Raw genomic sequence first — 16,410 nt, 5'->3', positions numbered from 1 at the left:
TTTATCGCCCGCAATTCCAAAGACTGCGGCCCCGCAAAGACCCTCCCCACTTTTGATTCCGCCTTTCACTTCCCTTCATCTCCTCTTCCAAGGAAAAAAAAAGAAAACCCGACAGAGACTAACGTGAGGGACACAGATTCCCAGATCGCCAGAGAGACACGTGAATATGGGGGACGGAGGGGAGCTCCCTGGGAATCCACCAAGGAAGACCTTGGGGTCCATTCTCAGTGAGGCTTTATTTTCTTAGTGAGGCTTTATTTCCCCAGTACCCCTTTTCCATTCCCTACTATCCCCAGAACTCCAGGAAGACAAGAGAACAGAGAGGGCAGACCATGGTGAAGAAGCTGGTCAAGGATAGAGTGATGGGGGCCAAGAAGAGATGCCAGCTGCCCATAGCTGTTCCTGACTGTGGGCTGGAGGGTGGCAGATAACTTGGATTAGAGCCCCACATGCTGGACTGTAGGGGGTATAGGAAAGGCAAAGAGAGCAGATTGCTGTGGGAGCCCAGGGAGGAGGTCAATGGCCTCTCAAGTCTCCCTGGGACTAGTTGCCCTCTCCTATCCTGAGGTCAACCAATAGGCCTCTTTTCTGAGGGGAGTGGTGATTAGGGGATGCTGCCAGCAGTGGGCTTGGGTCTTTGGTTGTACACCCACAGGACAGGGTCCTAACCTAATTTATGCATTTATGCAACATGCAGACTCCATGCTGGATGCTGGTGAGACATCCACCCAGACAGCAGGTGTGACCCCTGACCTCATGGAGCTTACAATCTAGAAGGGAAGCCATGCACTGAGATAGGAAATGTGATAGGAGATGTGGGAGGAGGGTGGGGTGAGGTGTGAATATCATGGGTTCGCCCTTGGATGTTTCGCATTTAATGTGCCTACCTTACCAAACTTCTTGAAAAACAGAATTCACGGCTGGGCACGGTGGCTAACACCTGTAATTCCAGCACTTTGGGAGGCCAAGGCAGGCGGATCACTTGAGGTCAGGAGTTCGGGACCAGCCTGGCCAACATGGTGAAACCCCATCTGTACTAAAAATAATAAATTAGCCGGGCATGGTGACGGGCACCTGCAGTCCCAGCTACTTGGAAGGCTGAGGCAGGAGAATCGCTTGAACTTGGGAGGCGGAGGTTGCAGTGAGCCAAGATCAAGTCATTGCACTCCAGCCTGGGCAACAAGAGCGAAACTCCATCTCAAAAAAAAAGGGGCAGGGGGGTGCGGAATATTGCTATCAGAGATATGTCTGTATCTGTCTTTTTTTCATACCCACTATTTCTTGACTTATTGGAATATGCATCCACACCCTATTCTCCTGAAACCTCCCTCTCAAATGGCAACCAATTACCCAGATCCCAAATCAATGGCATTTTCACAGTATTCTGCCTCTCTAAGCCCTCCCATGTTTGTCCCTTGACCCTGAATTCCCCACATACCCAGGTTCAAGAACGTATTACCTCCCTTCCCCCGACACACACACAGACCTCTAACCATTCCGCCTCTGCCTTCCCTCCTTGCTTTTTCTCCTCCCTTCCCCTAAGTGTCCATCTCTGATTTTTTTTCCTTCTCTGAGACTTTCCTTTGAAAAGCTCATTCACTCAACTCAGCTAATCAAATGCTTTTCCAACCTGTATTTTACATGCAGACGTTTTTTCCAGTGCCTGAAGATCATAGCCACATGGAAGATGCTTGCTGGTCCTCTAAAATCAACACATTCCAAAACAAACTGATGAAATGCCACAGAAAACCTGCTTCCCTGTCTCTGTTAATAGACCATTTTCCCAATCACTCTTCCTTATCTAGAAATTTGCCGCCTCCTCCCTCTCCCTCCTGCCTTATTTTTGGTGTGCTCTCAAGCCTAGTCAGTTCTGCCACCACAATGTCTTTTGAATCTGTAATTTTTCCCCAGCCCTTGCTGGAAAAATTACCTCATTAGGATTATTGCATCAGCTTTCCCAACAGGTCTCCCTACTTCCTACTTCTCCCTACCTCAAGTCTCCCTCCACACTATTGTCAGATCAGCCTCCCTAAACACACTTTCATAACTCCACTGCTCAAAAGCCCTTCAAGGTTCCCTATTGCCTACTCAATTATTTACAAAATTTTAATCTGGCCTTTAACACCTTCCATAATTTAAAATCATCCAGCTTCTCTGTTCATTCTAATTTCTAACCATACTGAATTACTCATCATTCCCACCTCCAGGTATTTGCCCAGCTGTTCCCAAATCTTAGACCTCCTTCCCAAATCTCTGCCTATTATAAACCAAATTGTTTGCAGCTTGTCACAAATTTCAGAGGCTTTAGACCACATCTAGGCTCTTGCTCATGATGTTCTCCCCCTCTTGACATCTGCCTCTCTACTTGGTCAAATTTTATTTACAATATCTTTCAAAGTCCGGATCAATTCATCCCTCACTGTAGCAAAAAGGTGTCTCTCTTTCCTCTGGGTTAGATTAAAGCAGTGGGTTTCCAAACAGAGCTTCAGGCATTCCTTGGAGCAACGGTTCTTACCCCAGGTTACACATTAGAATCCACTGGGGAGCACTGAAAAATCTGAAAGCCCATGTCGCATCCTAAAACAATTAAATCAGAATCTCTGGGCTCAGTGCCAGTGGCTCACACCTGTAATCTCAGCACTCTGGGAAGTCGAGGCAGGAGGATCGTTTAAGCCCAGGAGTTCGAGACTAGCCTGGGCAATATGGTGAGACCCCATCTCTACAAGAAAGTTTAAAAACTAGCCTAGGCCAGATCGAGACCATCCTGGCTAACATGGTGAAACCGCGTCTCTACTAAAAATACAAAAAAATTAGCTGGGTGTGGTGGCAGGTGCCTGTAGTCCCAGCTACTCAGGAGGCTGAGGCAGGAGAACGGCATGAACCCGGGAGGTGGAGCTTGCAGTGAGCCGAGATCGTGCCATGCACTCCAGCCTGGGCAACAGAGCGAGACTCCGTCTCAAAAAAAAAAAAAAAAAAAAAATTAGCCTAGGCCGAGCGCGGTGGCTCACACATATAATCTCAGCACTTTGGGAGGCCGAGGTGGGTGGATCACCTGAGGTCAGGCGTTCAAGACCAGCCTGGCCAACGTGGTGAAACCCCGTCTCCACTAAAACTGCAAAAATCAGCCGGGTATGGTGGCACATGCCTGTAATCCCAGCTACTCAGGAGGCTGAGGCAGAAGAATTGCTTGAACCTAGGAGGCGGAGGTTGCAGTGAGCCCAGATTGCACCACTGCACTCCAGCCTGGGTGGCAGAGAGGCACTCAGTCTCAAAAAGAAAAAGAAAAAAAAATTTAGCCGAGCCCCATGGCTCACCTGTAGTCTTAGCTACTTGGGAGGGTGAGACGGGAGGATTGCTTGGGCCTGAGGGGCAGAGGCTTCAGTGATCAGAACACGGTGCTCCAGCCTGGGCAACAGAGTGAGACCCTATCTCAAAACAAACAAAAAAGAATCTCTGGGGGTGGAACTCTGGCATCAGTATTTAAGACATAACCAGGTGATTCCAAAGGGCAGCTAAGGTTGGGAATCACAGGTTTACAGACACTTTAAGGACCACCCAGGGAGAATGGAAAGGCCAAAAAATGACTTCAACCCGGGCAATTTTCTTTAGGAGAAAAGTATCTAGATCTAAGATTCATGTTATCTGCATATTTTCTCATCTCTTCCCACCTGATATCTTGACATACACAGTTTACCTTGTGAGCTACTTGAAGGCAAGAGTCAAATCTGGCTTATCTCTGTTTTTCAGATCCTCATCAGATAAAACCTCCTCTACCAATCTTTGAACTCAATTGAATTGAAAGGAATCAGGCAAAGGGAGAGATGAATAAAAAATGACTTAGCTTTCTTTTGCTTTTCCTTAGGAATGTTTGTTTCTTAATCTCAGATCTCTTAACCTCACCCAGACTCCTCCCTCATGAGGAAATAAAATGTTACAATGTGTGGCCGGGCGCGGTGGCTCACTCCTGTAATCCTAGCACTTTGGGAGGCCGAGATGGGCGGATCACGAGGTCAGGAGATCAGGACCATCCTGGCTAACACGGTGAAACCCCATTTCCACTAAAAATACAAAAAATTAGCTGGGTGTGGTGGCAGGCACCTGTAGTCCCAGCCACTTGGGAGGCTGAGGCAAGAGAATGGTGTGAATCCCGGAGGCAGAGCTTGCAGTGAGCCGAGATTGTGCCACTGCACTCCAGCCTGGGCAACAGGGCGAGACTCCGTCTCAAAAAAAAAAAAAAGTTACAATGTGATCCTCTTCCTATCTGACTCACCTCCCTCTGCAGGTGATACCCTTGGCTGTGGCACCTCTACTGACAGAGACTCCATCCTCTAGGAGAGGCTCTGCCCTCCCATAACATCTGTATGGGTGCTCTCATACAGATGGGGGAAAACCATGATTAGATTCTGGGTCATCATTCCCCCTCTACAATGGAAGATTCAGCACCTGATCACTCTACTTCCACCGCTCATTTCATTTTCTTCTTTTTATTATTTATTTATTTATTTTTGAGATGGAGTTTTGCTCTTCTCGCCCAGGCTGGAGTGCAGTGGCGCAATCTCGTCTCACTGCAACCTCCGCCTCCTGAGTTCAATAGATTCTCCTGCCTCAGCCTTAGTAGGTGTGATTACAGGCATCTGCCACCACGCCCAGCTAATTTTTGTATTTTTACTAGAGACAGGGTTTCACCATGTTGGCCAGGCTGGTCTTGAACTCCTGATCTTAGGTTATCTGCCTACCTCGGCCTCCCAAAGTGCTGGGATTACACACGTGAGCCACCGAGCCCAGCCTCTTTTTCTTTTTTCTTTTTTTTCTGAGGCAGGGTCTCGCTCTGTCACCCAGGCTGGAGTGCAGCAGCAGGATCATAGCTCACTGAGCTTCGATCTCCCGGTCTCAAGTGATCCTCCCAGCTAATTTTTTTTATTTTTATTTTATTTTTTTTTTTTGAGATGGAGTCTGGCTCTGTCGCCCAGACTGGAGTGCAGTGGCACAATCTCAGCTCACTGCAACCTTGCCTCCTGGATTCAAGCAATTCTCTGCCTCAGCCTCTGAGTAGCTAGGATTACAGGCGCCTGCCACCACGCCCGGATAAATTTTGGGTTTTTTTTTTTTTTTTTTTGAGACAGAGTCTCACCCTGTCGCCTAGCCTGGAGTGCAGTGGTGCGATCTCGGCTCACTGCAAGCTCTGCCTCCCGGGTTCATGCCATTCTCCCGCCTCCCACCTCAGCCTCCCAAGTAGCTGGGACTACAGGCACCCGCCACCATGCCCAGTTAATTTTGTTTTTGTATTTTTAGTAGAGACGGGGTTTCACCGTGTTAGCCAGGATGGTCTCAATCTCCTGACCTGGTGATCCGCCCTCCTCACCCTCCCAAAGTGCTAGGATTACAGGCTTGAGGCACCGCCCCTGGCCTGTTTTTTTGTTCGTTTGTTTTTGTTTTTTTTTGGACGGAATTTTGCTCTTGTTGCCCAAGCTGGAGTGCAATGGTGCCATCTCAGCTCACTGCAACCTCTGCCTCCCAGGTTCAAGCGATTCTCCTGCCTCAGCCTCCTGAGTAGCTCGGATTACCGGCGTGTGCCACCATGCCCGGCTAATTTTTTGTATTTTTAGTAGAAATGGGGTTTCACCATATTGGTCAGGCTGGTCTCAAACTCTTGACCTCGTGATCCACCCGCCTCGGCCTTCCAAAGTGCTGGGATTACAGGCATAAACCACTGCGCCTGGCCTCTGGCCTTTGATATTTAATAGAGATGAGGTCACACTGTGTTGCCCAGGACAGTCTCGAACTCCTGAATTCACACAATCTGCCTGCCTCAGCCTCCCAAAGTGCCGGGATTATAGGCATGAGCTACAGTGCCTGGCCCCGTTTTATTATTTTTGTTTTCAATGTTCATGCAGATTCTCTAGCACCCTGCCCTTCTCTTGCAGTGATTTATTTCTCCCTGCTTCCCTCTCGCCCTATGTCATACCTTCAACTTGGTTGCCACCAATACCTACTGCCCTTCTAAAATCTCATCCTCAGTCTTTTCATGTTGCTCCCCAGTACCCCTATCCCAAAAATTCTTCAACCCCATCTGGGCCTCCCATCCACTAACTTACTTTTCATTGTTTGATCTCAATTCTTCACTTTCCTCATTACCCAGTTTAGATTCCAAGGTTCAACATGGTAATCGCCTCTCAGCCCTCACCCTGTACTCCTGGCCCCCCTTCCTCTGGCACATTTTATCCCTGGTCAAATCCCACTCTGCCTGCTCCACACCTGCATTCAACAGCTGGGGAGAAACACACAGTCATACTGACTGGTCTTGCTTCCTGCGGGCCCTCAGTGTGGCATGCCAGCTCGCCTTTCCCTACTCAGTTCACATTCCCCAAATCTGAGACCACAACTTCACAAGATGATGACTTTTCTTCCTATTTCAGTGAGAAAACAGAAACTTTCAGAAGGGAACTTCCTCATGTTCCCACCCCAAATTCACCAGTCTACCTGCAACTCTACCGCAGAGAAGCTGACATGCACCCACCTGCCACCTCATCTGTACCCCGGGATCCTGTTCCCTCTCACCTGCTCAGAGATGTTATTCCTGAAATTATCCCCTATCTCTCTCTCTCTCACTTAATCAGTTTACCCCTCTGTACTGCAACACTCCCATCATTATGCAAACATGCTATAAAATTATACTTCATCTCTGAAAAGAAAGAAAAAAACTGTTTCGCTACTCACCTAGGTAGTAAAAGCACAACATTCAGAGAATGGTGCTTACCCTTTGGCAGAAAAGCAATCTGGAAAGGGAAATTCAGGGAGCCTTAACTATACTGGGGAAGATTTTACCTCTTGTTTTTGCTTTCTTTTTTTTTTTTTTTTTTTTTTGAGATGGAGTCTCCCTCTGTCACCCAGGCTGGAGTGCAATGGCACGATCTCAGCTCACTGCAACCTCCGCCTCCCGGGTTCAAGCGATTCTCCTGCCTCAGCCTCCCAAGCAGCTGGGATTATAGGCACGCACCACCACACCTGGCTAATGTTTTAGTAGAGACAGGATTTCACCATGTTAGCCAGGCTGGTCTCCAACTCCTGACCTCAGGTGATCCGCCCACCTCAGCCTCCCAAAGTGCTGGGATTACAGGTGTGAGCCACCTTGCCCTGATGGGAAGATTTTACTTCATAAGCTGCCTGATGTTCACAAAATTATTCTTTGTAATACATATATATTTATGCATATAAATTATAATTTTATATGTATAAAATAATGCATTTATTTTTAAATTTAAAAACTCTTCCCTGACCCAGCTCACTCCCTCAGTGTTCCACTTCTCTCTCCACTTAACAAAACTTCTCACTGCCTCTACTTTCTCACCTCTCATTCACTCTTGAATTTCTCTCAATCAGGCTCTCATCCCCACCACTTTACTTAAACCACATGTCAGAGTCACAAATGACCTCCAAGTTTCTAAACCCAATGGTCAAGGGTCAGTTTGTGGCAGGCCAATTCTCCCTGACAGTCACACAGACAGGCCTGCATAGCACCCCAGTTACACAGACAGATTTCCACAGCATTGCCTTAACATTGAGCAAATAGTTAAACCTAGGGGAATTGGTGTACAGACATCAAAGCTAGAAATGAAACACATGGTGAGTAAGAGCCTTGCATGGGCTTCTCCCTTGCTGGAGCAAGTCAAAATAACAGAGACAGCCTTACATTCCTAGTGCCAGGACTCGTCTCGGGTCGACGATATCTGAGACAAGTCAAGGTAACAGAGGCAGCTGTTTGAATAGATTCATTGGAGAATCTAAGGCAGCTCTCCGCACCAAGCTGTAAAGGAGATAAGATAGAAATAATCACTCTGGTACCACAGTAAACAGGCCTTGAAGGTACTGGGGCCCTCACAGCTTAATCAGACTTAGCAAGAATTTTTTTGCCTCTGACCCTCTAGTTGAAACAAAATTAGTTACTGATAGACTTTGGTGAATGCCATACTGCATGTAGGCATATAACCTAAACCTGTATAAACACTAAGAAAATAGTAACACTGGCCGGGTGTGGTGGCTCACACCTGTAATTCTAGCACTTTGGGAGGCCGAGGTGGGTGGATCACAAGGTCAAGAGATCGAGACCATCCTGGCCAACATGGTGAAACCCTGTCTCTACTAAAAATACAAAAATTAGCTGGGCGTGGTGGCACGCGTCTGTAGTCCCAGCTACTCGGGAGCCTGAGGCAGGAGAATCATTTAAACCCAGGAGTCGGAGGTTGTGGTGAGCCAAGATCGCACCACTACACTCTAGCCTGGCGACAGAGCGAGACTCCGTCTCAAAAAAAAGAAAAAAAGAAAATTGTAACACTTTGAGTTGGTCTGGTGGAATTATCTCCGACCCTTTCCCTGTATCCGGTGACAGCAACAAATTCCCTTCTTTCCTAGTTTGTCTGCTTCTCGTTATTGGGCCACGAGAAAACACAGCCAAACCTGGCTTAGTTCCAGGAATAAGTTCTCAACTAGAGTCTAAACTAGGGTTTCTCAGTTTCAGGGATTATTGACATTTTGGGTCAGATAGTTCTTTGTCATGGGGGTCTGACCTGTGCATTGTCTTGCCAAGTATCTCCTGTGGGACATCTTGACCAGTGGTTTTCAAGAGTGGGTGATCCTCCCATCCCACCCCCAGGAACATTTGGCAATGTCTAGAGTTGTTTCAGTTATCACAACTGAGGAGGTGCTCCTAGCGTCTAGTGAGCAGCGGCCAGGCATGCTGTTAAACTCCTTGCAACTGGAGGACACAATAAATAATTATTTCACAGCCATAGTAAAGAATGAAATTGGCCGGTCGCGGTGGCTCACGCCTGTTATCCCACCACTTTGGGAGGCCGAGGTGGGCAGATCACCTGAGGTCAGGAGTTTGAGACCAGCCTGGCCAATGTGGTGAAACCCCGTCTCTACTAAAAATATCAAAATTAGCCAGGCATGGTAGCACGTGCCTGTAATCCCAGCTACTCAGGAGGCTGAGGCAGGAGAATCACTTGAACCTGGGAGGCGGAGGTTGCAGTGAGCCAAGATCATGCCATTGCATTCCAGCCTGAGCGACAAGAGAAAAACTCCATCTCAAAAAAAAAAAAAAAAAAAAAATGAAATCATGTCCTTTGCAACAACGTGGATGAAGCTGGAGGCCATTATCCTAAGTGAACTAACTCAAACATAGAAAACCAAATATTTGGCTGGGTGTGACGGCTCATGCCTGTAATCCCAGCACTTTGGGAGGCCGAGGCAGGTGGATCACTCGAGCTCAGCAGTTCGAGACAAGCCTAGTCTCTACCAAAAACACAAAAAATTAGCTGGGCATAGTGGTATGTGCCTGTGGTCCCAGCTACTTGGGAATCTGAAGTGGGAGGATCACTTGAACCAGGGAGGCAGAGGTTGCAGTGAGCTGGAGTCACACCACTGCACTCCAGCCTGGGTTACAGAGTGAGACCCCATCACGGGAAAAAAAAAAAAAAAAAAAAAGTCGGGCACAGTGGCTCACGCCTGTAATCCCAGCACTTTGGGAGACAGAGGCGGGCAGATCACCTGAGGTCAGGAGTTCGAGACCAGCCTGGCCAACACGGCAAAACCCCGTCTCTACTAAAAACATGAAAATTAGCCTGACATGGTGGCGTGAGCCTGTAATTGCAGCTACTCAGGAGGCTGAGGCAGGAGAATCACTTGAACCTGGGGCGAGGAGGAGGTTGCAGTGAGCAGAGATAGCGCCACTGCACTCCAGCCTGGGCAACAGAGTGAGGCTCCATCTCAAAAAAAAAAAAAAATTTACCTATTGGGTACAATGTTCACTATTTGGGTAACAGGTACACCACTAGAAGCCCAATCCCCACCAGGATGCAATGTAATCATGTAACAACCAACCAGGTGTACTGCTTGGGTTTAAAATTGTGGGGGAAAAAAAAGAAAAGAAAGAAGAAAAAAATTATCCTGCCAGGTGCAGTGGTTCATATCTGTAATCCCAGCACTTTGGGAGGCTGAGGCAGATGGATCACTTGAGTTCAGGAGTTTGAGACCAGCCTGGACAACATAAGGAGTCCCCATCTCTACAAAAAATTAAAAAATTATCTGGGCATAATGGCACACACCTGTGGTCCCAGCTATTTGGGAGGATGAGGTAGGAGGATCACTTGAACCTGGGAAGTCGAGGATGCAGTGAGCCATGGTAACCCCACTGCACTCCAGCCTAGGCAACAGGCTGTCTCAAAAACAAAAAAGAAAGAAAGCATTCCCTAGTTCCTTATTTACTGCTCCTTCTCAGTCTTCACTGACAGCTCCTATTCCTTTTCCAGACCTTTAAATATTAGAGAGCCTCTGGACTCTATTCTTGGCCCTCTCCTCTACCCTAATCCAAGCTCCCATGATTCCATTGTCCCTTCCTTTGTCCCTTAATTGGATTTTCTGCTTCTATTTTTTACTGATGTGGCCTACCCTCTATGAAGAAACCAGAGTGATCTTTAAAATTACCAGATGATATCATTTACCTGCTCAAAACCCTCTGATGCCTCCTGATCACATGTGGGACAAAATAAAAAGTCCTTCCCATGGCCTATGAAGCCTACCTGGCCTTGTTTCTCCCCACCTCTCTGTCTTCATCCCTTACCACTCTTTCCCTTGCTCACTCTGCTCCACTCACTCTGACCTCCTTTCTGAATTTAACATAAAAATCCAATTCCTTTCTACCTCAGGGCCTTTGCACTCTCTTTTTCTTTTCCTGGACACTCTCCCTCCAGATACTTGCATGACTGCTCCTTTATGTCATTTATATCTGCACAAACATCACCTCCACAAGGAGGCTTTCCCTCATCACTTGATTAAATATAGTACCATGGCCAGGCACAGTGGCTCTTGCTTATAATCTCAGCACTTTGGGAGGCAGAGGCAGGAGGATTGCTTGAGGCCTGGAGATTGAGACCAGCCCAGGCAACATAGTGAAACCTCGTCTCTAAAAAAAAAAAAAAAAATTAGCCAGACATGGTGGCATGAACCTGCAGTCCCAGCTACTCATGAGGCTGCGGTGGGAGGATCACTTAAGCCCAGGAGGTCAAGGCTGCGGTGAGCCATGACCACACTACTGCACTCCAGCTTGGGCAACAGAGCAAGACTCTATAAATAATAATAATCATCATCATCAATAAATATAGCACCATGCATACCTGGGAGCACTTTCTATCCCATTCCCTTACCCCTCACCCTGCTTCATGGTGTTCATAGCACTTGTTAGTGCCTGACATTGTATTAAATTTTATTGATTTTTTTATCGTCTGTCATCTTCAATTCAATGTAAGTTACCAGAGATCCAAGGCTTTTTCCACTGCCTTATTCCCAGCATGTAGCACAGTGCTTGGTACAAAGGAGGCCCTCAGTAAAGATTTCTTGGCTGGGCGCAGTGGCTCACGCCTGTAATCCCAGCACTTTGGGAGGCTGAGGTGGGCGGATCGTGAGGTCACAAATCCGAGACCAGCCTGACCAACATGGTGAAACCCTGTCCCTACTAAAAAAAATACAAAAGTTAGCCGGGCGTGGGGGTGCACACCTGTAGTCCCAGCTACTCAGGAGGCTGAGGCAGGAGAATCACTTGAACCCAGGAGGCGTAGGTTGCAGTGAGCCGAGATCACGCTACTGCACTCCAGCCTGGGTGACAGAGCGAGACGTCATCTCAAAACAGCAACAAGAACAAAAACCAACCAACCAAACAAACAAAATTCTTTGAATCACTGAATGAATAAGTAGTTCATAGAGTTGTGTGAGAGAAAAATAGCTAATATATACAAGACATTTAGAACAATGCTGAGTATTACGGTCATAATGCATGGCCAGCGTTTAGTAAGGTGAAGCTGTTATCATTAAACACTTCACTGCCAAAAAGGCTGCCTCCCTCCTGCTTGAAAACCCTGACTATAAGGGAAGCACAGCAAAATGCTTTGGGACCAAAAAGGAGGGAGGAACGATTTTGACACAAATCCCAGCAAAACTAAAAGCCACAGAAACCACCAAAGCTAAACAGAAGGGGAAATTTATTTAGCTTTTGGAAAGCTAGAATTTTTGTCTCTCATGCAGATAATAAATGGAAGAGAATAAGTGCAGCATATGGTTCCATGTGGTGAGTATAGAACGCAGGGGAATGTGAGAGTGTAAAAACTTCCAACCAGCTCAATGCCTGGTGACAGGGCAGCACAAAGGAGTATTGGAATAGCCTGGGAAAACTGAGACTCACAGACTGGAGAGGAATAATCCTGGGTGTTAAGTGGCTTTCCTTACTTCTCCTACCTTGTGCTGCTTCTTCCACCTGCAATAAATCTCTTCCATTTCTTTTTCTTTTTCTTTTTTTCTGTTTTGTTTTGTTTTGTTTTGTTTTTTGAGATGGAGTCTTGCGCTGGCGTCATGCTGGAGTGTAGTGGCGCCATCTTGGCTCACTGCAACCTCCGCCCCCTGGGTTCAAGCGATTCTCCTGCCTCAACCTCCCAAGTAGCTGGGACTACAGGCACATGCGACCACGCCCAGATAATTTTTGTATTTTTAGTAGAGACGGGGTTTCACCATGTTAGCCAGGATAGTCTCGATCTCTTGACCTTGTGATCCACCCGCCTCAGCCTCCCAAAGTGCTGGGATTACAGGCATGAGCCACCGTGCCCGGCAGTCTCTTCCATTTCTGCATATCAAATTTGCGGCCCTCTTTCAAGTCTCAACTCTCTGAAGCCATCCATGAGGTATTTTCAGATCAACCCCAGTTGAAAATAACTCCCCTGCCACTTATCACTTTTTCCTTTGCATCTGGAGCATTGGCTAATCTGACTTTTCACTCTCATTAGATTACTGGTGGGGATTCTCCGTATTTGTCTCCATATTTCACTGGCAAATTCTGGGTATTCAATAAGGGCTACTGAATGAATAAGAAAAAAATTCTACTTCATCCATTTAGAGGGCAAGCATCATATGCTCTGTGTGCAGGAACAAGATGAAACAACCACTAGCTGGCAAACTACCTCAAGCCAGCTCCTGAACCTCTCCTTGGGTTCTGCCTCAGGTTAACTCTTTTTTTTTTTTTTTTTTTTTTTTTTAAAAGACAGGGTCTCACTCTGTTGCCCAGGCTGGGGTACAGTGGTGTGATCCTAGCTCACTGCAGTCTCAACTCCTGGGCTCAAGTAATCCTTCCGCCTTAGCCTCCTGAATAGCTAGGACTACAGGTGCACCACCCTGCCTAGCTAATTTTTATTTTGTAGAGGCAGGGTCTCTATGTTGCCCAGGCTTCAGGTTAGGTCTTGAATGAAGGCAAACAATGCCCTTCTGGGATAGAACAAGGAGAATAACAGAGTATGGCCAGTTTCTCTGAGCCATCTTAGAAGGGGAGGACCCAGAAAAAAGGAAGGAGGGAAGTGACTCCAGGTAAGATGTAAATATATTTGCAGGTAAATCCCCAGAAACTTGTCAAATATGGTTTCCCTCAGTCCAATTTTCTTCACTTAAAGGAGTGGAGAATTGTTCCAAAATGGAGTTAACATTCTGCAATCATAGAGAGCAGAATTATTGCCCTCCTCCCAAGTTCTTGCATTCTCCTAGATGTCTCTTTGACCTTTTTTTTTTTTTTGAGACGGAGTTTCACACTATTGCCCAGGTTGGAGTGCAATGGTGTGATCCTGGCTCACTGCAACCTCTGCCTCCCAGGTTCAAGCGATTCTCCTGCCTCAGCCTCCCAAGTAGCTGGGATTACAGGCGCCCGCTACCACACCTGGCTAATTTTTATATTTTATTAGTAGAGATGGGGTTTTACAATGTTGACCAGGCTGGTCTCGAACTCCTGACCTCATGTGATCTGCCCACCTTGGCCTCCCAAAGTGCTGGGATTACAGGCGTGAGCCACTGCACCTGGCCCTCTTTGACCTTCTTAACCCAGAGTCTCACTTTTCGAGAGGTTTCTGTGTAGCAAGACGGGGTAAGTATGTCCCATTTGCATTCACACGATTTCTGGAGGTATTGGTGATGTTGGTCCCTGCAACACCAAAGGAAGAGAGGGAGCAGAGGACAATTTGTAGTGACAAGAAGAGACTGGATCCAGTCCCTTGGGGAAGAAGATTCCTTTTCATCTCTTCCTCTCATGCCTGCTCATCTTCCATTTCATTCTCAAATCTTTAGGGGAAAGGGAGAGGAGAGAGACATTGCTGTTTCCCCACTTTCCAGTCCAAGCATCTATCCCAACAGATAAGCAAATTTCACTTGTCATCCTCTTTATGTATCTTTCTCAAATGTCTTGTTCTCTAGCCAGGCTTAAGGATATAATCTTCCTGGTTTGTGGCTCTCTTTCGTCTTGATTCCTTGATGACTGCCTCCAAAGAGCTGAGCTCTGGCACAATTAGACTTGAGGGAGATAGTGTGAGTCAGTCAACAAGCATGTAGTATCTACACTTTGGGGGAGAGCCTATACTCTTTCTTATTTCTTTTTTTACAAATTATTATTTTGAGACAGAATTTCTCAAATTCCTTTCTACCTCAGGAAAGGAAAGGAAATTGGATAAGGCGACTTTGTCGCCAGGCTGAAGTGCAGTGGTGTGATCTCGGCTCACTGCAACCTCTGCCTCCCGGGTTCAAGCGATTCTCCTGCCTCAGCCTCCTAAGTAGCTGAGACTACAGGCACACACCTCCACACCAGCCTAATTTTTGTATTTTTAGTAAAGACGGGGTTTCACCATGTTGGCCCGACTGGTCTCAAACTCCTGACCTCGAGTGATCCACCCACCTTGGCCTCCCAAAGTGCTGGGATGACAGGCATGAGCCACTGCGCCTGGCCACTCTTTCCTATTTCTGAATCTTCACAGGTTGTTGGTCCCTTCCTAGTCCTGTGTTTCTCAAGTTAAGACTAGGGGGAATCTACAGGTCCATGGCTATCTTCTCTGGGGAACTCTTCTAAAACTTTAAGTTTGTGCTTACCTCTTGATGGGCCATATTTTTAAAAAGAGAAATATTTTCATACATGATGATTTGGATTAGGTTTTTTTTAGGGGTTTCAATGCCTATATTTGTATTTGTGTTTATTTATTTATTTATTTTTTGAGACAGAGTCTTGCTGTGTCGCCCAGGCTGGAGTGCAATGGTGTGATCTTGGCTCACTGCAACCTCCGCCTCCTGGGTTCAAGCGATTCTTCTGTCTCAGCCTCCCAAGTAGCTGGGACTATAGGCGTGTGCCACCACGCCAGGCTAATTTTTGAATTTTTAATAGAGACGGAGTTTCACCATATTGACCTTGTGATCCGCTCGCCTCGGCCTCCGTGCAGTGGCGCGATCTCAGCTCACTGCAACCTCCGCCTCCCAGGTTCAAGCGATTCTCCTGCCTCAGTCTCCTGAGTAGCTGGGACTACAGGCATGCGCCACACCAGCTAATTTTTGTATTTTTAGTAGAGACGGGGTTTCACCATGTTGGCCAGGCTGGTCTCAAACTCCTGACCTAAAGTGATCCGCCTGCCTTGGCGCCGTGGCTCACGCCTGTAATCCCAACACTTTGGGAAGCCGAGGTGGGCAGATCACTTCTGGTCGGGAGTTTGAGACCAGCCTGGCTGACATGGTGAAACCCCATCTTCACTAAAAATACAAAAATTAGCCAGGCATGGTGGCAGGTGCCTGTCATCCCCGCTACTTGGGAGGCTGAGGCAGGATAATCGCTTGAACCTGGGAGGCAGAGGTTGTAATGAGCCGAGATCTCGCCAGTGCACTCCAGCCTGCGTGACAGAGTGATACTCCGTCTCAAAAAAAACAAAAAACAAAAAAACAAAAACAAACAAACAAAACCAGGGAGAGAATTGTTTTGACACAAGTCTTTGGCTAATGATGAAACCGTCTCCCTTCCTGGCTGTCCTGGCATGGTTTTTATAGTCTGAGGCACAATGGTGAGAGCAAACTTAAGAGGGAGCCAAAGTGAGGTACTCAAGAGAGGGATCCTTCTTTCCTGGAGAACTGTGGTAGCCCAGGCTGTGTAGGTAGCTGGACAAGCAAGACTGAATCACAATAGGTCTCTACATCTTCTATTAGGAGGAGAACCTGCAACATCCAGTGGAGCAGGTCACACCAGTTATACATGTAAAATGTAGGATAAACTAAAGGGGCACAGAGCCAGGGGAGAAGACAATGGGATGAGACTGTTCTAGAATCTCATCCCATTGGTTCATTGCTGGGTGTGGTGGCTCACACCTATAATCCCAGCACTTTGGGAGGCTGAGATGGGATGATGGCTTGAGGCCAGGAGTTTGAGACCAGCCTGGTAAACACAGCAGACCCCATCTCTCTAAAAAAAAAAAAAAAAAAAGAAAAACATACGGTTTATGAACCAGCAGCATCTGCATTAACCAGCTTATTGAAATGCAGAATCACAGGCCCCACAACAGACTTCCTAAATCATAATCTGCA

Source organism: Homo sapiens, chromosome 6, assembly GCF_000001405.40.
Source record: "Homo sapiens chromosome 6, GRCh38.p14 Primary Assembly".
Classification (NCBI taxonomy): domain Eukaryota; kingdom Metazoa; phylum Chordata; class Mammalia; order Primates; family Hominidae; genus Homo; species Homo sapiens.
This window is presented reverse-complemented; position numbering follows the sequence as displayed.